Consider the following 22,230-nt stretch of genomic DNA (forward strand, 5'->3'; position numbering starts at 1 on the left):
TTCTTAGTTTCCTGAGTGTTTTTATCAAGAAACAATGTTGATTTTTTTCAAATGCTCTGTGTCAATTGACATGATCACATGGTTTCTTTCATTTTATTATTATGATGTGTTAAGCAAACTGATTCTCTTTTGTTGAACCACCCTTCCATTACTAGGATATACCCCACTTGGTCACAGTGTATAACCTTTTAATATGCTTTTGGATTCAAATAGCTGATATTTTGTTGAGGATTTTGAGTCTATATTCATATAGGAATATTGGTCTCTAGTTTTCTTATGGTGTCTTTGTCTGGCTTTGGTATGAGAATACTAGTGGCCTCATAGATTCAGTTAGGAAGTGTTCCCACCTCTTCAATTTTTTGGAAGAGTTTGAGAAGGATTGGTGTTAATTCTTTAAATGTCCAGTAGAATTCACCAGTGAAGCCATCTGGTCTTTGACTTTTGTTTTTTAAGGTTTTGTTGTTGTTGTTTTTAAAGGACTGATTAAATCTCTTTGTTATAGATCTGGTTATAGTTCCTATTTTTTCTTGAGTTAGTTTTGGTAATTTCTGTGTTTCTAGGAACATGTCCTTTTCATTCAGGTTATTTGTCAGCACACAACTGTTCACAGTCAAATCTTACAATCCTTTTTCCATATATAAGTTTGATATAATGTCTTCACTTTCATTTCTCATTTTATTTAATTGAATCTTATCTTTCTCTTTTCAAATTTGGGGAGTTCTGAGACATTTTTCTCCGCTAATGTAGTTTTTCTTTTTCTCTCTTTTCCTTGTGTGACTTCTGTAATATATATTTCGGTATCCTTGTTGATATCCCATAGGTTCCTTAGGCTTTGCTCATTTTCCTGTTATTTCTTTCTGCTCCTAAGACTGGATAATTTCAGTTTTCCTATCTTAAAGTTTACTGATTCATCCTTCAACATGCGAAAATGTTTCTTGAAATTCTCAAGTGAAGTTTTCACTTCACTTATTTGTACTTGCAAGCCCAAGATTTTCTATTTGGTTCCTTTTGATAATTTCTATCTTTTTATTGATATTTTCCTTTTGTTTATACATCATTACCCTAGTTTCCTTCAGGTTTTATGTTCTTGGTTTTGTGTCTAGAATTGGTGAGTTTCTTGGTCTCGCTGACTTCATGAATAAAGCTGCGGACCCTCACGGTGAGTGTTACAGTTCTTAAAGATGGTGTGTCCAGAGTTTGTTCCTTCTGGAGGGTTCATGGTCTTGCTGACTTCAGGAGTGAAGCCACAGATCTTCACAGTAAGTGTTACAGCTCTTTAAGGTGGCATATCCAGAGTTGTTTGTTTCTCCCGGTGGGTTCGTGGTCTCGCTGACTTCAGGAGTGAAGCTGCAGACCTTCGCAGTGAGTGTTACAACTCTTAAAGCAGCGCATCTGGAGTTGTTCATTCCTCCTGTTGGGTTCGTGGTCTCCCCGGCTTCAGGAGTGAAGCTGCAGACATTTGCGGTGAGTATTACAACTCATAAAGGTAATGCGGACCCAAAGAGTGAGCAGCAGCAAGATCTATTGCAAAGAGCGAAAGAACAAAGCTTCCACAGTGTGGAAGTCGAGGTGGGTTGCTGCTACTGGCTCGGGTGGCCTGCTTCTATTCCCTTATTTGGCCACACTCACATCCTGCTGATTGGTCCATTTTACAGAGCGCTGATTGGTCCATTTACAGAGTGCTGATTGGTCCGTTTTTACAGAGTGCTGACTGGTGCGTTTACAAACCTTTAGCCAGACACAGAGTGCTGATTGGTGCATCTACAATCCTTTAGCTTGACAGAAAAGTTCTCCAAGTCCCCACCCGATTAGCCAGACACAGAGTGCTAATTGGTGCATTTACAAACCTTTAGCTAGACACAGAGTGCTGATTGGTGTGTTTACAATCCTTTAGCTAGACAGAAAAGTTCTCCAAGTCCCCACCCAACCTAGAAGCCCAGCCGGCTTCATCTCTCAGTTTCCTTTAGTTCTTTGAGCATATGTAAGACAGTTGACTTAAATCATTATCTAATAAGTCCACTATCTGGGCTTCCTTAGGAATGGTTTCCATCAATTTCTTTGAGACTTCAGAGGCTACACATGAGTGAATGCAATTAAATCCACAATGTGATGCCTCTACATATTCACCAGAATGTATAACATTTAAAAAGGAAAAGAAAAAGGAAGAACACAAAACACAAATGAGTATAGTAAGTGTTGGCAAAGATGCAGAGTAACTGAAATTTTCATTCACGACTAGGGCATGTATAAATTAGTAAAACCTAAAAACTATTTGGCAGTGTCTATTAATGTTGAATATATTGAATATATACCCTGTGCATAGTAACACTACTTCCAGGGATCTTCCAAAATCAAATGTGTAACTATGTGCATCATAAGACAGGTACAAGAATATTCATAGCAGCGTCATTTGTAATTACCCCAAACTTTAAATAATCTAATGTCAAACAACAGTAGAATAGGCAAGTAAATTTTAGAATTATATACAAAAATGAAAATGAAACTATTATATTCTTGAATATGGATCAATCTTACAAATATAGTATTAAGCAAAAAGAGCCACATAAGAGTGCGTATTATGTATGACTATTTATAAACATTCAGAAGCAGGCAAAACTAATTGGGTGGTAGGATTCAGAATTGTGCCTATCTGTGTGTAGGGGTATAATGACTAAGACTGAGCATGAGGAAAGCTTCTAAATTGCTGGTAAACATTTAAAATTTTGCTGTGAGGCGGTGGTTACACAAGTTTGTTCACACTGTCACTAAGACAAGCACTTATGATTATTACACTTATTTTGTATATGTGTTATGCTTTAAAAGGTTTTCACATCTATCAGTTTATAAAATTTTTTTAAATTGTATTTTATCAGTATTGGCGAGGATACAGGGAAAAATTGCTCAAATACTAGCAGTGGGAATGTAAGTTAAAACAACTACTCAGGGGAGCAAATCAGTGAAATCTATTAAGGATTTACATCGTGCAAACTCTGTGATCCAGTACATTCTCTTGTTGGTATCTGCACTCTAGAGAAATACTTGGACCTAAGTACAAAAAGGCATCTACATATATATTTATGGTACCATTGCTTCTCATAATAATATTAATAAACAAACGTGAGGGTGGGGGAATGGTACATTAATTATGTATGTATATATATACACATATTGGTTCTGAGGACATGCAGCATTTTCAGAGAATGAGGTAGATTTATATACAGATATGGAAAGATTTCAATGCTAAGTGTAAAAAAGTAACATCTACACTTGCAAATGCACAGGAACTAGGAGTCATCATCTACAGACTGGGTTTGTAATTAGGGCCTAAAAGGGATATAAGCATAATTGTAACGTTTAAGCTTTTTTTTTTTTTCGCATGGACAAAATCTTACTTGTGTAATTTAAAATTAATAACGGTACTTAGAATGACTTTGGAAAAATATACAAATAATGAAATGGGGATCCAAAGAATGTTCACTGTATACCTCTGTACTTCTAAAAATGTGAATAAGTGTAGCATCCGTTGGGAGAAAAGTTTAATTAAATTTTAAATAAAACAATAAAAGGTGCCTAACTTCGTGTGAAAACAGACATATAGATATAATTAAATGTGACTACCGCTTAGAGATGTTAGTTATGAACTAGGAGCGCTGAGAAAAGGTATCCTAAATAGGTCTGGGGGAAGTGAGAGTTAGAAGAGGTGACTCTTGAGCTGAGTACCGACATAGAAATGGTATGCCCTGTTTTTATTCCTGGAGGGCTCAGCATGAGGTGCCCAAGAGGCCCTGAAACCCATTTCCATGACATTTTCCCACGAGCTGGAGCATAAACCCCCACCGAATAACTGAAGGGAAGCGGAAGGCGCAGAAACGCGGACGAAGAGGAAGCGGGCGCTTGTTAAACCGTGCGATGCACAATGCGGGAAAGTCCAACCAGCTCCGTGTTTCAAAGCTGGATGCCCAGATTTCCCACCCATTCCTACAGGCAGACCGGCTCGCCCTCTCCCTCCTTCCCGCGTCGTTTACTGGTCAGTAGAAGATTGACATGTCATCTGGCCAATAGGTTGGCTCCTCTATGGAGGCACTCAGGAACCAGTCGGGTCTTTGGTCCCTCGAGCGAGATGCGAGCTGTGTGCGTCGACGTCAGCGTGCTGACGTCACGGGCCGGAGGTCCCGGGGCTGCTGGGTGCGGGCGGTGGGCTGCGCGTTGTCCGCTGGACTGGGTCCCGGTCACGCCCCGCCAAGCCCCGCCCCTCAGGCCGGGGCGCGACCGCGGATCCGCAGTTCCCGGGCCAGCCTGGGGCGGCCGGCCAGGAACCACCCGTTAAGGTAGGCTGGGTTTCTCGTTCCCCTATTTGACAGGTTGGAAAACTGAGTCTCCTGGGTCAGATGACTTACATGGGGGCGTACAGGGGACCCGCGGACGGAGGCCATATCCTGGTCCTGTTCTGTTTCCTGAGTCCTGCGCGAGCCTCCAGGGGAGGAGGAGGGGCGAGGCAGGCTGTGCTCATAATGGACACAAGAGTGAAGTTGCAGAATGCTGAGCCCCGCTGCTCCCACGGCGTGGGCCGGGATTCAGGGATGGATATAGGTAGCGGGAGTGTCCTCATTCCTCCAGCCTGCGGACCCTGAGGAGTCCCCGGTGGGGTCGGCCCCGGGCTGGCGCCATGGGCCCCCAAGAAGGACCAAGAATTGGTGACTGGGTGTAATGCGTGGGTTGTCCAGACACAGGCGGTTGTGAGTCTCTTCTATTCATTGAGAAAAGTCGTGTTCAAAAAAAAAAAAAAGAAAGAAAGCACGAATCATGAATGTTCTCCCTGTGGTTTCAGTTAACTGCTTCACCTACTCGTAGATATCTCGCCATTGTTTGAAATCTTAGTTGCTTGAATACTTTTGATTTAGGGTTAGGGATTTTTCCCCCTCTCTTTTAGTTCAAACATGGGTGGACATTGTGGAACTTTTCTTTGTTCACTGTGTCATTTGTCTTCTATTTCACAGATGGAATCACTGAATTCATCACTTGACACAGTACTAGTTTGGATAAGTTTAGCAAGGTAACCAAGTAACGGGTCTAATTAAATCTTTACTGGAATTAGTCCAGTTTGCCACATTTCCTTGTTAGGAAGAATTCTGAAAGGTAATTCCCGTCTGTATACCATATCTACCCATACGCCTCTTTCTAGAAGCAGGATCTCACAAAACGACTTATGGTATCCTTGTTTTATTGATGGATTCTGATAAGGTGGTGGATTATTCATGTTCATAAAATGAAAACATACAATATGTTGTCGTGTAGAAGTCACTGTCTTTAAAATCTAACTGTCTCAAACATTGGTCTTTTAAAACTGCATTATTGCATTGCCTAAAACTGCATGAAAGAAATGAAATGAAACAGCCTCTGAGGGATATTACCTTACTTATGTTCACAGAAGGATGGTGATTAACATCATTTGGATTTATTCAATGGACAGTTTGCCTGAGTGATTGTCTATGCCACTCATTGTTTTAGGTTTTAGAGATTGAGTAGTGAGCAATTTAGATAAGGCCCATACCCTCAAAGACTTTAACTTTTGTTGGAGAATATAATAAACATGTAAATCAAAGAGACAAGTTTAGATAGGAATAAATGTCAGAAAAGATACTACTGGGTAGAGAGTTTGAGAGTGACTGGGTTGTATGGAGAAATGGGATGGTCAGGGAAGACCTCCCTAAGGAGGTAACACGAGGTGACATTTTGGGTGATAGCTGAATGTTTAGCTGAGTCAGCCATGAGAAAATGGGCTGGAAGTTTCTAGGCAGATATAAACAGTGTAAAGGAGCTAAAGGAAGAATGAACTTGGCATGTTCCAGGGACAGAGGGAAGCCCGTGTGGCTGGAGCTGAGTGAACCTAGGGGAGGGTGAGGTGAGGAGACAGTGGTCAGAGGTGACACTGGAGAGGTGTACAGGGATTGGATCATCTTGTATCCCATGTGAGCCTTACAGGCAGGCAAGGGAAAGATAATTTGTGTACTGCAGAGTCTTGTTTTCTTTTAGTGATACTCATAAACTCTAGCCAACTTTCTGCTTTGTTTTGGTTATGAAATCATTGCAGTAATTTATTGTGTATATATTTTTTCTCCAGAGGCCCTCTTAATGAAAAGATCTTGTTTCCTTCAGCACCTTATCCGATGTAGTTTGTTTCCTTTCCATTGTTATATGCAGAACTCAAAGTCTTTGCTTTTTCTTAAGCTCCCTGCTTTTAATCCTTTCTACTTCCAACCGTGAATACTCTTTCTTATTACCTGTACCTGCCTTCCACTTGGAAAGCAGTGGCAGTTGGTCCCTGCTCTTCTCCAAGCCAAATTCTAGGAAGCTGCATTGGCAAGTGGATTATTGTTCTTCATTAGAGCTTGTATTACTGACCAGGAACATAACGCTTGCCTTTTTTTAGTACCTACGATATGCCAGGTATGTTACATACATTCTATTCCTTCCAACTTGTGGCAAAGGAAAATATTAAGCCTTTTTGATAGTGAGGGAAACTTACACTTCAGCTACTGAGCTAGTACTGATGGAGCTTGTATTTGAACTCCCATTAGGTTTACTTCAAAGCCTAATTCATTCTACCCCACCTCCTGTTAACCTCCAACCTTGCTACCCTGAGCAGCAAGTCTCTATTACTTAAAATTATGTTTTATGATGTGGCATTTTAGAGATCACATGATTCACCCCTCTTAGTTTAGAGCTAGGGCTGTGGAGGCCCAGAGAAGGTCAGTGAGTTTTAAAATAATGCATCTAATGGCCAAACTTCTATCAAATTTTCACCCTGCTCATTTTCAGGCTAGTGTTTTTTCTGCTTTATTTTCTTCATGAAAGTCCCCTATCAATATATTTCTGTACATATAAAAATATAATATTTCAACAGCATGAATTTATTGTCCATAAACTTGTAAAAGTTAATTTTAAAGAGATGAGACATTGCTTCTTCTTGGGCTACAATAATCATTTGCCTTATTTTCCTTCCCTTTTCTGAACAATGAACAGGTATAAACTTTCTGGATGAATCTAGTCTCTGTTAATAGAAAGCTGTGGTTTAAAAATGACTTTTAAATTTTTGTTTTAATTTTAGAAATGTTTGAAAAGGAGTTTAAAATGTGTTACTATTTTCCTAGCCTTAATCTTACGCTTAGAAGTATGGGAATATTGCCTACAGTTTGCTAACTCATAGTTTCTCTTAGCAAGTAGAGTTTCTTCCTGTTATTGAGGAAGCCCTTAGGTCAGTGATATAACTTCTTTTTCTTAGTAATATGTTATGTTTAAAAATAAGTCAAAATCAGTTTATAAATTAATATGAATAAGAAAGCTGTTAACAGTGGTCTTAAAATTTAAAAATGCCCATTATTTATTTCTAAGGTTTGCATATTTTAGTAATTATGAGTGGAATATGGTAGATGAATAATAACAGACTAATAAATAGCTTAATTTACTTTCTGTATGTCTTTTTGACTCTGCTGTAACTTAATAGAATTTATCTTTTTCTTTAGAATAATTTTAATGGAATTAGTATCTTCTTTTTTAAATATTGGAAGGTACTTAAGTTTAAGCAAAAGAGAGTTTTTGCTCTTTAGGCCAAAATACCAAACCTAGACATCCTGGCTATCTCTATTCTTTAAGATCGTTCATGCAACTAATGCCCATATTCTGAAGACCCAGGTCATCATGATTTGACCACCATCTTCTGCCATGAGCCTAGTGCCCCAAATTGGACTCCTGGTCTTTGCCTCAGGCTTTCCAGCTTCAGTGCCATTACTAGTTCTGCTTGGAATGCCCTCTGGATAGACAACTCCAGCCAGCCAAAATTCTACCTGTCCCTCTAAGTCCACTCAAATGCTGCTTTATCAATAAAGCATTTCCCGTGTCTCTATAACAGAAGCCTTCTTTTCTCATAGCACTTTTGGGAGCCTCTCTTTGACACCAGTTACCAATCCTGATATCTTTAGTATTGTACTATTACATACACAGGTGTTAAAATATATGTTGACTTGAGCTTAAAAAACTTGACAATTTGTGTTATATACGTGCACAGTTTTTTGCAGATTGTAGAGCCCTGTTATTTTATTTACACTTTTATCATCTTATCTTTGAGAGACACACTGTTAGGCTTTTCTCAGCTTTGGTTCACAGAACCTGTTTTCTGTTTTAGTTAAGGGTCTGCCTTCTGCAGTTATCAAGGGGTCCTTTGAGAGGAACTCATGTCTTTGGGCTATAAATGTTGAAGGCACACTGTCACAAATAAAATCAGTGTTCTCTGTGTTTATGGTATTGGAAAATACTAACAACGATTTCCACTTTTTAATATTATAGATGAGAAAACTGAGGCCCAGAGAGACTAGCCCTGTGTTACTTGCAGTGCTAGGCTAAGAAGCCTGGTCAGTACCCCTGGTTCATGGCTGCAGAGGCTTGTAGCAGGCTGTCATCAGTTCTGATGTCCTGTGTTGGAACTCCTGGCAGCCTCTTACATGATGTATCAGTACAGCTCAGGCCTTTCCAGTTGTTTTGCTTGCTTTATTTGTGAGCTGACCTGGATCCGGAAGATACCTCTTGTGGTGAATCAAGATTAAAGCTTTAACTCTGACCAGGAATCCCTGACTCTGAGCTATTTAAGCCTGGAGGATCTTCCTGAACAGGCATGGGTATGGAATCAAGTTCAGTAGGCTCTTTAGTTTAAAACCCTTCTCTTCTTCCTCTCTAGTTACAGTTTTCAAAATAGTATTGTGAGACTAGCGAGCATCCTCAGTGTATTCAATCTGGAGTTTGGAGGAATCTGGCCCAGGACCTTTCATGTTGCAGTAATCATAGGTTTCTCTGTCCTATATTTTCCAGGACGGTATACTTTTCAAATACTGTGCATTATTGCTCACCAAAGTATATTCTTGTTTGCTTTTTGTTTCAGGAAAATATATTCTCAGAATTATTTTTTAAAATTAAGCATTTATTAAATTAATGATGTAGAAACTGAATTTCAAGTACCTTTTTCTATTTTAATTGTATGTTAAATTCCTCAAAGGTAACACAGAGGACGTTAGACTTTTTTCTAGCCCAGGGAGGAACACCAGCCAAGACTTGCCTTGGGCATTGGTGGTAATAACTGATGCATATAGAGGGCTTTCTTTGTGCCAGGAGTTGTTCTAAATGCTTTATTTCAGGGCCTCTGTTCCTCAGCACTGTTGATATTTTAGGCTGGGTAATTCTTTGTTGGGGACTGTTCTGTGCATTGTGGGATGTTTAGCAGCATCTCTGGCCCCTACCCACTAGAAGCTAGTGGTACCTCCTCTAGTCCATGTCTTTTCCATTTTATTTCCTGCATAGCATTTAGCATAGTGTTTTACTTATGAGAGATGCTTAATAAATATGTCCATTTGTTTGGGTTAGATGGGTTCCTACTCATGTAGTGATTTCTTTCTGTTTCTATATACTTGTATTCATTTTTGTAGTGTGTTGTTAGAATGACTTCACTAAATAGCATTCAAAATATATTGGAAAGAAAGATTACCAATTTAGTTAATTTGGGAGAGTTGGGAACATTTTTATTAATTTCATTGTAAATGAAATTAACTGGAGATTAAATATTCTTAGCTTATTTAATATACTGCTGACCCTTGAATAATACAGAAACCTGTCTAGTTGTATGTGAATTGTTTTAAATAAAACAGGGACCTGACCTAAAATAGTTTTCACAGCATGTGGAACCCATGTATGCAGGTGGTTCTGGAACCAATTCCCTGCATATAATATACCAAGGGAGGACTGTACCATATTGCAACTCCAACCATATGTGTAAGTTTGTCTAACTTTAGTTAGCAAGTACTCAGATGACTTTGTGCTTTCATACAATGATAGTTGCAATTTTTAAACTAATTGAATACCTAACACATGCCAGGCATATCTTTGGGTGCTAAGAATATAGAATGTTCTCTAGGAGTTTTCAGTATAGTACTGAGAAGAAGACATGAACAATATGTGAAACATGTGAAAGACTGGAGGTGCTCTTAAAGGTATATGGGATATATATTATACATACGTGGTCAGAGAAAGTTTCATCCAGGAAGTGATACCTAAGCTACCTTGAACAATTAATAGGCTTATTCTTGCTGTTAATATGATAGTTTGGTGGTTCAAGGAAAAGGCATTCCAGGCAGAGGGAGAACTGGGGCAAAGGCAGGATGGCGAAACTTCCTGTGTCAGTCCATATGTGTCGCTTCCTATAGATACTTTAGGCTGGATAATTTTATAAAGAAAAGAGGTTTAATTGGCTCACAGTTCTGCAGGCTGTACAGGAAGCATGGCTCGGCTTTTGGTGAGGCCTCAGGAGGCTTACAGTCATGGCAGAAAAAAAAGCTGGAGCAGCATGTCACATGGCAAGAGCGGGAGCAAGAGAGAGAAGGGAGATGCCACACATTTTTAAACAAGCAGATCTCATGCAAACTCAGAGTAAGAGCTCACTCATCACCAAGGGGATGGTGGCAAGGGGATGGTGCCAATATATAGTATATGATATATACTATATATAGTATATAACCGATATAGTATATAATATATACTATATATATAATATATAACCCATATAGTATATAATATATATATAATATATAACCCATATAGTATATAACATATACCATTCTTGAAAAACTTGCTCTCAAATAATGCAACAAAACAAGCAATAAAGAAAATTATGACTATGGAAATACATATATATATAGGCAGCATATATACTATATATATGTATTTCCATAGTCATAATTTTCTTTATTGCTTGTTTTGTTGCATTATTTGAGAGCAAGTTTTTCAAGAATGCTGCTAGTTTCAAACTTTTATTGAGAACTTTATGAAATTAAAGAGATCCTACTACTTTTGTTGTATTCTCTGCCTCTGTAACGTGCTCTGAGTCTGTTCTTATTATTAGACTGTAAAGCACACTTTATTTTCTGAATATTTTAGCCTGTAGTTGAATTGAGTCTTGTGATTAGTGGTCTTTGTGTGATTCTATTTGCTAAAACATGAGTTAGGCTGATGATAAAGGGGATCACGAGGTTACTTCGGTTGCTGATCTTCTTGAGGGTCTGATTTTCTTTATGACTGCCTAAGAAGTCTTTCAGAGAAAAGGATACTGGTGATTTTTAAAACCTAGGCATCAAGATTTTGAGACTGACTTTCCCTGTCTGTCACATGCACTAATCTTTGGACTACAAACCTTTATCTGTGGTATGATTCATAATTTCTTTTTGGACCTATGTGCTGTTCTTGTATATCACATCATAGGAGATAACATATGTAACTTCTGCCTGTTGATAGATACCCCTGGGCATAGATGTGAATGGCACACCTTTCATTAACCTGCTCTATTTTGTGACATGGGGAGTTGGTCTCAGCTGTCTCCTGGGGCAGTTAAAGTAACATCTTCCCTAGCATTGCTGTTAGTGTGCCACTTCCACCAACCAAGAGCCACCAAAGGGACAGTGAGTAGAAGATGGCTCTGTCAACTGGAGTGACATTTTCAGGAACACTTATCTCCCGCATTCCTGAGGAGTTTTATGTTGTTGAATGAAAAGAAACCTAGCTTGTCTATGAATAGCTGTGCTGGCTTTGCTGACTACTTATCAGCTGGCCCCTGGGAATTCAGCTTCTGTTTTCTCTGTATAGAAAGATAGGTCTGGGGAGGCGTTGAAGAATGTGTGGTGAACACCTTCTTTGGGATGAAGGATAGTTACTAAAAGAAGGTACACTTTTAGCCACTTGCCTATGATTCCTGGGAGAGCAGTGAGCTCACCACTGTGGATACTATTGATTTTCAGATCTAGATTAATAAGATCTCAAGTCCTGTGCTGAAAGTTGACAGCATTTGTTTGAAAATTGCTTGTAGTAAGTATCGAAGGAATGACATTATGTGATGCAGAGATGTCCTCATATGCATTGGAAAATATTTCAAGTTCCTTAATTGAGGGACCTTCACCTGTCTAGATAGTAATATGACTCTTGACTCCTCCATTGCCAAGGCTGGTGATACATCTCTAAGAGGAAGTCGTAAATATTCATAGGAATATTTATATGTACACTGAGGAGCAACACGACTCCTTGAGTGCTGGTCTGCTGATGGTTGACAGAACTAATGAGTCAAAATTGGCAAAAATAATGGTAACTTCGCACTAGCCATCAGGTATTTTATAACTGATGTATTGTGTGATTTTTTAGGACGGCTAAAAGTAGATTTTGTTATGAGGGACCAAGGAAAAGTTCTGGAAAAAGATAGTCAACAACTGAAAAATCAGCAGTATTTTGTACTTGTGGAAGTGACCTTATTAGTCTCCTAAAGGAAAAATTGGGTTACAAATAGCTCTATGACCTGGAAGATTAAAACAAAGGAGTTTCTAGGTGAGCTGTGGAGAAAATACAGCCATGTGCTGCATAACAACATTTAGGTCAACAATGGACTGCATATATGATGGTGGTCCCATAAAATTATAATACCATATTTTTGCTGTATTGTTTCTGTTTAGATATGCAAATACTTCTCATTGTGTTACAGTTGCTTATAGTATTCAGCACAGTAACATGCTGTACAGGTTTATAGCCTAGAAGCAATAGGCTGTACCATATAGCCTAGGTGTACAGTGGGCTCTACCATCTAGGTTGTGTCAGTTAACACTGTGATAATGAGGAAGTCACCTAATGACGCATTTCTCAAAATGTATCCCTGTCATTAAGTGACACATGGCTGTATTTAAGTTTAGGAGTTAGAGCCAAAGCTGAGAAAGGGGGAAAAAAGCTGCAAAATCAATTTGAATGCCAGGAGAAACCACTGTGAGAATAAAAGGTTGGAGACAATAGAAGCTGGAGGAAGGTAGCTATAGAGACCCCGTTGTTTCAGTTACTTTGGGCTACCTGACAGCAGCTTCTAAAAAAAAAAAAGAGAAACAAATGAAAGAACATTCTTAATCCTCAGGGCCCATCTTGAGAGAGACTTGCGTTGAACGAGTGGTGAGACCCAGCTCCAACATGCCAGCTGGCTGACTCAGCCCATGCTAGTGAAATAACTGACTACCAAGTTGTTGACCCCTGCAGGGTTGATGAGCTAACAAGTATTTCATACCACCCAACATTACTGGGCAGCTGTGTGGCATCTTCCCATTTTGCCAACCTGTAGTCTATGGAACAACTTATATACATTGTCAAATGCCTTTCTTCTTTCTGGCTTGCTCTTCTTTGCCTGGACCAAGCAACAGTCCTAGTGGTGTAGTTATTGTCAATAATATATACTTGATTTTTTTCCCTCTCTTCAGTCATTCCCTTGTATTATTTATATATCTTCCCTATTGACTAGATGTAGGTTCTGCTGAGAGCATGAGAACTCTTGTATTACCTTTGAATCCTTTTAAATGCCTGTGTGGTGTTACATTTTTTCGGTGCTCAATGCTTATGGTTTACTAAAATGGGAACTCTTAGTGGACTTACATAGGGCCCACTTCATAATTGTTTTCTGTTCTACAAATAGATACAATTTATTAGTTTTTTTTTCATTTTTATGGCATAGAAGAACATTCTTATTTCTGCCTATCTTATGTTTTAAAATTTCATCTCTATGCTCCCCTGAATTCCTGATTCATATCCAACTGCTTACTTTATCTCGACTTGGATATTAATAAGCATCTCATGCTTTATGTCTAAACTGAACTGGTATTCTTGCTCAAAACTGCCCCTTGTCTAGCTTCCCGCTTTCACTAAATAGCACATCCATCCTTCCAGTTTCTCAAGCTCTAAATTTTGCAGTTCTGTTTTAGTCCTCATTTTCTCCCATACCCCATGGCTAATCTGTCGCCAAATGCTTTGGGCTCCTTACTTGGAACCAATCTATTCTCATCCCCTCTACTGCCCTCACCCTATTCTATGGAGTCAGTACGTCATCTCTCTCCTGAATTATTGCTGCTGTCTCCTAACTGGTTTCCCCACTTCTTTGCTTCTTTCAGCAGAGCCTCTTAAAACTTAAGCTACATTATTTTTCTCTTCTACTGAAAATCTTCCGGTGTCTTCCCATCTCATTCAGAGTAAGACTTTACAGTGGCCCACACACAAGGCCCAGCCCTTTGTTAACTGATCTGTCATCATCTGAGGTGCTTCCCCTCTCTCACTTGGCTGCAGCTTCGCTGGCCACCTGGCTGCACTCCTCTGTGACCAGCTCCACCCCTCCTCAGAACTTTTGCCCCTGTTCTTCCCTCTATCTGCAGTACCCTTCCTCCTTGTATCTACCTGGCATTTCTCCCTTATCTCCTAGTCGTTGCTCAGATGCTGCCTCAATGAAATAATCTCGACCCCTCAGTTTAAAATGACCATGTTTCCAGCCCTACTTTGTCTTCCATCCCCTTCCTGTAGAAGGTAAACTCTGTGAGGATAGATGTTTTGTTCATCACCATGGGAGTGCTCAGAAGGGGACCTGACACAATTTTAGTGCTCAAACATATTTGTGGAGTGAATGAAGTAGATGTGGTATATTCTTGGCAAACTTGAATTTTCAAACATTATGAAGTGCGGTTCTTAAACCATGTAGTTCACATCCAGATTCAGCTTCTCAATGTATATTTTAGGTTTGTCTCGTAAATTATGAAAACATTGATATGCATTTACCCAGCCATCTTTAAATCTTAATATTTATCTCTGCATTACATGTCAAATGAAAGTTTAGTAATATTTTTAATATTCCTATAGGAAATAGATCACATAGAAATTGCGTTGCTTTAAAAAACAGTCGGAGTTCGGGAGATAAATTAATGTCTGCCAGAGGAGTGACTTAAAAGCACCATGACATGTATTTTTCCCCTTAAATTTTTCTAAGTCATTGATGTTAATTTCTAAATCAATCTGAGTCTTAAAGCAGATTGTTGAAAGGTTAAGTTCTGTTATGTGCACACAATTACTTTTATCTGCTGATGGTAATAGAAATCATTGAATGAGACAAGACTACAAAACAATGACCAAACTTTAACAGGCAGCCTTGGATGTGTGTGTGTGTGTGTGTGTCTGGGAAAAGGGCAGAACACAAAGCATTCAAGAGTGAGAAGATTTATTAAGATGGAATGAAAGCATTAATTACATCCCAAATGAATATAAATAACACTGGAAAATATGATGCCTAGAAAATAAAGATTAAGAATAACACCGTGGAAATAATATATAAAGATGTTACCATGGAGTTGGGCTGTCGAAATTCATAAAGAAAAGTAAGGAGAGGAGCAGAAGGAAGTGCAGTTGAAATGTGCATCCAAGTGTAATAAGTCAGCCATGTGAATTAAATAACACATGGTGTGTCTGAGCCTTGGTAGGTGGTGCTTTGTAAAAGATCTGTCTTTCCCCAGGGGTCCCTGAGTTCTAGTGCAGGGAACAAATGAAGGAGCAACTTGGCTTGTAAAAGCTTGTGGTGTATGTTGTACACGTTTTTACTAAAGACCTGAGCAAACTTTAGACCCCAAACCATTGGATGATGTGACTCCACTATTTCACATACACCTTATAGCAGCAACAATAATAAAACACCATTTTCAGTTATATAAGTGACATTGGCTCAAAATGCAAATAGAATGACTTCTATCTATTAGTCATGCATGCTTTAGAAGCCTTTAACTACCTCCATTTGTGTTTAGGTAATTTGATAGTTGTATTAAGGGCAGAATGATTTGGGTATCTGGAATTCTTATATGGCTTTTCCTTTAAGTCTATCAGTGCAACTCAAACTTGTGTATCTAGGAATTTTTATACAAAGGTACGTGTACAAAATTCATATGCATTCTGTTTTATAGCATGATTTAAGAGGTTTTTGAGGATGTTTGGTTTGTCTTTGCCTTTAAGTGTAGCATACTTAAGAGCAAAGTTGGTCTCATGATTTTTTTGCCATGAAAATTTGCCTTTGCTTTCTTTGCTATACAATAGTTACCTCTTATCCATGGACAGTACATTTCAAGCCCCCCCAGGGGATGCCTGAAACAACAGATAGTACCAAACCCCTATGAATATTTTGGTTTTACTTATACAATAATGGGCAGATAGCATATGCAGTGTGGCTATTCTGGACAAAGGGGTGATTCATGTTCTGGGTGGGATGGAGTGAGATAGTGGGAGATTTCATCATGCCACTCATGATGACACACAATTTAAAACTCATGAACATTTATTTCTGGAATTTTCTATGTAGTATTTTTGTAGTTCAAGTGCTTCAGGTAACTGAAACTGGAAAGTGAAACTTCAGATAAGGTTGGGGAGGGGGATTATGGCACATACATATGCTACATGTGTGTATGTATACTGTATGCATCTTATGTTTAAATGTATTCATATTGTGTGTATGTGTGTATATACTGTGTATAGATAAACAGGTACAGACACAGCAGTGCCATCTCAAAACAGCCTTATGCCCTTACGTTTTTCCGAATGAATCAGAAATAAGTTGCATACATGATGACACTTATCCTTCAGTACTTCAGCGTGCATCTCCTAAGAATAAGGGCACTCTCCTGCATAACCATTACTAAACTGTAATCAATTCTCCAATTGACTTTTGTGGCTTTTGTTTTTAATTCAAGATTCATTCTAGGCTTGTGCATTGCATGTGATGCTCGTGTCTCTTTATGCTCTTTTCTATTTGAAGAGTATTCACACCACTATCCTTTTTATTTTTGTTTTTCACCACATTGACTTCTCTGAAGAGTCCAGGATAGTCGCCTTTAGAATGTCCCATATACTGTTTATTATTGTTATTTTTAATGACTAAATTCAAGTAAAACTTCTGGCAAGGATTTATCACAATTGATGTTATATAGTTCTTGTTGCAACGCATCAGAAGGCAGGTAATGCCAGCTTGCTCCAGTATTGGTGATGCTGTTTGATTACATGGTTCAGATGGTGACTGCCAGATCTCTCCACTGTAAAAGCATATTATCCCCAATGAAATTATTAAATAATCTGAGAGATGCTGCTTTGAAACTACAATATCATATCCCCCAACAACCTTTTAATAATTGCCAGCATCCATAATGGTCCTTGCCTGAATCTGTTACTACACTGGGAGTTGCAAACCACTGATTTTTCTAATTTTATTATTCCTTTTACATTTTTATGTGACTTTTTTCTGTATAGAAGAACTCTTCCCCTGCCATCTGTCTTTTATTTACAATATTACCATGGACTCATGGAATTTTTAAATTTGTCCAATGTAAATTCCAACATTACTGTCATTATTCATTTTTATGTTTAAGTTGTCCCAAATGGACCAGGGGGAGCCCCTTCATGACAGCCTACACAATTTTTTTAATGGTTATAACTTTTTGTGTCTTCTTTAAGAAATCTTTGCAAAAAATATTGCAAAAAAAATTGTCCTACACATTCTTCTAAAGCTTTGTATTTTTAATTTTTACGTTTAGGTCTGTAAATCGTCTTAAATTATTTTTTACCTGGTGTGAGTTAGGGTTTGAAGTTCTTTTCAGTTTTAATATCTGGTTGTTTTCTTCACTGTTTGCAGAAAACAGACTTTATTTTCACCATTGGATTACTTTGACAGCTTTGTCAAAATTGAAATGACCATATATGTGTGGGCCTATTTATATACTCTCTATTATGTTCTATTGACCTATTTGTTTATTCTTATGCTAGTACCATACTGTTTTGATTACTGAAGCTTTGTGGAGTCTTTAAGCTAGGTAATGTGTCTTCTATTTTTGTTCTTTTCCCAGATTGCTTTGGACAGGCTTATTTCTTTGCATTTTGTATACATTTTAGAATTAGCTTGTCAGTTTCTATTAAAAAAAAAAGCATGGTGGGATTATGATTGGGATTGAGTTGAATCTGTAGATCAGTTTGAGGAGAATTGATATCTTAACAATATGAATTCTTCCAATCCATGAACATGGTATATCTCACGATTTATTTTCAACTACTTCCATTTCTCTCAGCAGTATTATGTAGCTTTCAGTTTTGCAATATTGCATATCTTTTATTAAATTTATTCCTTAGTGTTTTGTTTTTGATGCTATTTTAAATGGCTGCCTTGCCTTTCTTTTTTTGCTTTCTCTTTCTCTTTCTGTGTCTAGTCTTTTCCCACTCCCCTGGATTGAAGGAATTGGTAAATATATGAATCACAAAATCATAAAAGTGAGCTCTTGTTAACAAAGTTTTGTTGTTGTTGTTTGTTTCTTGCTTTTTTAAATGGAAGGCAAAAGTATGCGGCATGATAGATGTAATTATAGAGGTCTGTGTACACTCTTCTTTGATAGGGGCAGAGAGGGTTAGAAGAGTAAGAGGAAACAAAGGTTTCCCTGAGAAAATGGGCTTTGAATTAAGGCTTATCAAGTGGGTCAGAACTTTACAGATAAGGAGAGTGGCACTCAAGGTGCTACTGGAGAGAAAAATGCAAGCAGAGGTTTGTGAGAACATAATGTCTTTAGGGAACTGCTTGTGATTTTTTACCATGATGAAGTGGCTATGGAGAAGTAGGCCAGTGTTAGGTTAGGCAAAATTAAAGAGTTTGAGCTCTACCTGAATGAAGGTCCCAAGAAACCATTTAATAAATAATCTCATAAATTTAATTTGCTTCTCTAAAAAATCGGCTGCTGTCAACTAAGTGCTTTTTTAAAAAAATGAACTAATGCTTAATATTTGGAAAATTTCCTGTTACAATTCAGATTTCTGGCATCCACTGATAAATATAAGTCTGCCCTCTCTTTCCACACATATAGCCCCTGAAGATCGGGCGCACACTCCTCTCCTGTTTGTTCTCCTTGTCTCCTGAGGCCAACTGTCAGTTTCCAATTTTCTTTCAGCTTACATTGTTGTTGGTTTTTTTTTATGTCAGGGATGTGTTTCTCCCTGGCTCTTTCCAAAATCCTTCCCTCTCTATGTGTTTCTCTGTGTCTCTTTCAGAATAAGAGACTTAGCCACATTTTAAGAGAGTGAAACAGATATCCACTTGGAAATGAAGAGTTGTCCTACAAAATTTGAAATTATGCAAGTTCCCCCTGCCACCTGCCTCCAATTAAAAACCAATCAAAATGTACATAATTTCAAAGCTTTTGGCCTAAATGAATTGTAAGTTGTGTTCGTGCATGCTTTTGAAATGCAGTGAAACGTTTTAATGAGTAAACAGAAATGTCTGTCCTCCTATTAGGATTAGTTTTTTGTTGTTGTTGTTGTTGTTGTTGTTGTTATTTTGAGATGGAGTCTCGCTCTGTCGCTCAGGCTGGAGTGTAGTGGTGCGATCTCGGCTCACTACAATCTCTGCCTCCTGGGTTCACGCCATCCTCCTGCCTCAGACTCCCGAGTAGCAGGGACTACAGGCGCCCACCACCACGCCCGGCTAATTTTTTGTATTTTTAGTAGAGACGGGGTTTCACTGTGTTAGCCAGGATGTTCTTGATCTCCTGACCTCATGATCCACCCGCCTTGGCCTCCCAGAGTGCTGGGATTACAGGCGTGAGCCACTGCGCCCAGCCAGGATTAGTTTTTATCTATATGTGTTTTGAATTATGTGAGGTTTTAGGAATAAGCTCTGATATGTTTGTCTGACTTGTGGGAGCGGTTGTGAGGTTTAAATGACATAATGTATCTTAAGTACTCAGCATTGTGCCTGACACAGTAAGTCCCAGTGTGAGGAAGCTCTATTCATTTTGTTATTGTTAATATATGATATACAATGTTATGTAATATATAATTATGTTATATTAATATGTGTGGTTAGTTTATACTTTTGTCCTGTAGTATGTTGCAATCTTTAATATTCTTGTGTTGTTACATGTTCTTGTTCAGATAATGTCAGTATTATCCTAGCTTTATTTAATAATAGGATAGATTTCCTTTTTAACATTCTGAATCAATATGTAGGATTTTGTCTTTTATTTCAAATATTGAAATGCCCATAAAACTGTCTGACTCCAGTCCCTTTGCTAGGTAATTATTTTTCACTATTCTTTTTTTGGAATGGTTTATTCTATTCAGGTCATTTGCTGCTTCTTAGTGTAATTTATATATTTCCAGAGTATTGACTTTAGTTATGGTTTTCAAATGGAATTAAAATATTACTTATACTTTGAAAGTGACCTCTTCTATAGTGGTACTTGTATTCCTTTATTAGTACTCCCTTTATTAGTACTTTACATTTGCCCTTTTAAAGGACTGATCATTGGATTTATCTATATATTTTAAATTTGTTTATGAAGTGTTCATCAGGCACAAAAGTAGAGTTTTTGTTATAAAGAGTCACATTTTTCCCACTCCCCAGGTTGCAACAGTTATCATCATCCTCCTTTTGGATTTACTAATTGTATTCATTGTTTTTCTTTTTTCTTTTCTATCCTTTTCCATATAGAATAGTTGCAGCTTTCTAACCTTATTATTTAAATGCCGAATTATTTAATTTTATTCTTTATTTTAAAAGTAGTAAATTACTTTAAGGTAGTGATTTTGATAGTAAGCCCAAGTTTACAGCTTTCCATTGTTTTTACTGTCATTTTTTTCCAATAGTTTGTTTTACTTTTTAAATATTTTTATCTCAATGTTATTTTAGTAAATAGTACTACGTTATGGAAGTCTATTTTATGCACTGCTCATTCTCTATAGAGTTCCTTATTGCAAGATTTATTACGTGTTTTTTGGTGGTCTAGTTTTGTGATCAATTTTATAAATATGGCTTACCTCCTCAACATAGTATATAGTCTATGACTGTAAAGTTAAAAAATAATTATCTGTCTTAAAAATTTTAATTATAGTATTGAAATAATCTGTATTCGTATCATTAAAATATCAAATAGGCTAAAAAAGTAAATGTCAAAACCTTTCATTGTGATTATAATCTTCCATTTACATAGCATTTGCCTTTTTTTTGTTTTTAAAACATTTTGTATCTCTGTTCTTTCTGATAAAGCATACACTGATACTGAGTGGTGAATATTAAGCCTAATTTTATATATATATTTGGACTGAGTCTTGCTCTGTAGACCAGGCTGGAGTGCAGTGGCACAGTCTCGGCTCACTGCAACCTCTGCCTCCCTGTTCAAGTGATTCTCCTGCCTCAGCCTCCTGAGTCGCTGGGAGTACAGGCGCACGTCACCATGCTTGGCTAATTTTTATATTTTTATTAGAGACGGGTTTTACCATGTTGGCCAGGCTGGTCTCGAACTCCTGACCCCATGTGATCCACTTGCCTCGGCCTTTCACAATGATGAGATTACAAGCGTGAGCCACTGCCCCTGGCCACACTTATCAGTTTTTAAAAATCCCAGTGTTAGCCATACTTGCTGAGTTGAAAGAATATGTGTCAGAATTTGCAGAGCTTAATTATGCACCTTGAGTTATTGTGGACTTATTAAAAGCCTTTGTGTGAGCTGTGAACCTCCTCTGACTTTTATTGGTGTGAATTAGTAATCATACCCAAATACTTGCAAGTCAGAATAAACAAATTATTGTATAGTCAAGTTCAGTGATTCTAGCTTTGCTTTGAGCTTGCTAACTGTAGTCCACTTAATAATTCCAGTTAAGGAAAATTATTGATAATTACCTGTAAGTTTATAAAGAGATACTGGGGGAATATCTGAGTGATGATACAACCTTTCTATAATTCTTTTTTTGGAATTACCACTTGCATACCATGTACAGAATGTGCGAGTATTTTGTAATAGCTATCCATCATTTAGACTGTGTCTGAATGATATCTCTAGAAGTTCCCAAAGAGTAGTTTGTAGCTGATGGTGCCAATGTAGGTCATTAGAAATATCTAGACTCCATCTCCCAAGAAACTACTCCGTATTATCACATTGGTGACATTATTCGTGTTTGAACCCAGCCCTTCTCCTTGTTAACTGAGAAACCTGATTAGTCAGCAGCTTAAAGAGCCCACTTGCAAGTGGCTTTGCCTTGCATGAGTAGGCTCATGTCTCAGTGTCTGCAGTGAACACCTTAACTGCCATGTGGACTGAATGTTTACTTCAACCTGACCAGCCTGTTGTTTCCTTACGTAAAATGTTACATCTTAATCAGAAACATGGAATTAGAAAAAGGATGTGGGAGGCATGCAGAGGATTATTAAATTAAATTGTTGTCAATTAATTATAGGAATCACTTGGCCAATGGATGGGAGATAGTTGATGCAGTGTCACATTGGATCATGACACTCCTTTTCCTGTGTTTTCCTGGCTGACCCATCCTCTTTCTGATGGGCACATT

The 22,230-nt window shown here is 38.0% G+C and overlaps 1 protein-coding gene across 8 annotated transcripts in view, besides 5 other annotated features; it reads left to right on the plus strand.

The window, feature by feature from the left end:
* Positions 853–2,052: an enhancer, noted in NCBI's record as "BRD4-independent group 4 enhancer chr7:38214547-38215746 (GRCh37/hg19 assembly coordinates)". NCBI's record gives its function as "activates an origin of replication core promoter dependent on BRD2, P300/CBP, MED14 and CDK7 cofactors, and independent of BRD4, by STARR-seq in HCT116 cells {active_cell/tissue: HCT116}" and the evidence as "EXISTENCE:reporter gene assay evidence [ECO:0000049][PMID:35650434]".
* Positions 3,800–3,879: an enhancer, noted in NCBI's record as "active region_25864". NCBI's record gives its function as "activates an Ori minimal core promoter by ATAC-STARR-seq in GM12878 lymphoblastoid cells {active_cell/tissue: GM12878}" and the evidence as "EXISTENCE:reporter gene assay evidence [ECO:0000049][PMID:35858748]".
* Positions 4,130–4,409: a silencer, noted in NCBI's record as "silent region_18109". NCBI's record gives its function as "represses an Ori minimal core promoter by ATAC-STARR-seq in GM12878 lymphoblastoid cells {active_cell/tissue: GM12878}" and the evidence as "EXISTENCE:reporter gene assay evidence [ECO:0000049][PMID:35858748]".
* The window catches only part of STARD3NL (STARD3 N-terminal like), a 52,425-nt gene continuing 34,347 nt past the window's right edge, over positions 4,153–22,230 (plus strand). For 6 of the 8 annotated variants that reach the window (NM_001363346.2, NM_001363339.2, NM_001363343.2 and 3 more), the window contains exon 1: positions 4,153–4,328. The gene's annotated coding sequence lies outside the window, so the exon portion shown is untranslated. Of the gene's footprint in view, positions 4,329–4,997; positions 5,054–22,230 lie in introns of all 8 variants that reach the window. The other 2 variants (NM_001363340.2, NM_001363344.2) reach the window with 1 other exon arrangement.
* Positions 8,395–8,689: a silencer, noted in NCBI's record as "tiled region #13548; HepG2 Repressive non-DNase unmatched - State 23:Low". NCBI's record gives its function as "represses a minimal TATA promoter and a strong SV40 promoter by Sharpr-MPRA in HepG2 cells {active_cell/tissue: HepG2}" and the evidence as "EXISTENCE:reporter gene assay evidence [ECO:0000049][PMID:27701403]".
* Positions 14,011–14,060: an enhancer, noted in NCBI's record as "active region_25865". NCBI's record gives its function as "activates an Ori minimal core promoter by ATAC-STARR-seq in GM12878 lymphoblastoid cells {active_cell/tissue: GM12878}" and the evidence as "EXISTENCE:reporter gene assay evidence [ECO:0000049][PMID:35858748]".

This window comes from Homo sapiens, chromosome 7 (genome assembly GCF_000001405.40).
Source record: "Homo sapiens chromosome 7, GRCh38.p14 Primary Assembly".
Classification (NCBI taxonomy): domain Eukaryota; kingdom Metazoa; phylum Chordata; class Mammalia; order Primates; family Hominidae; genus Homo; species Homo sapiens.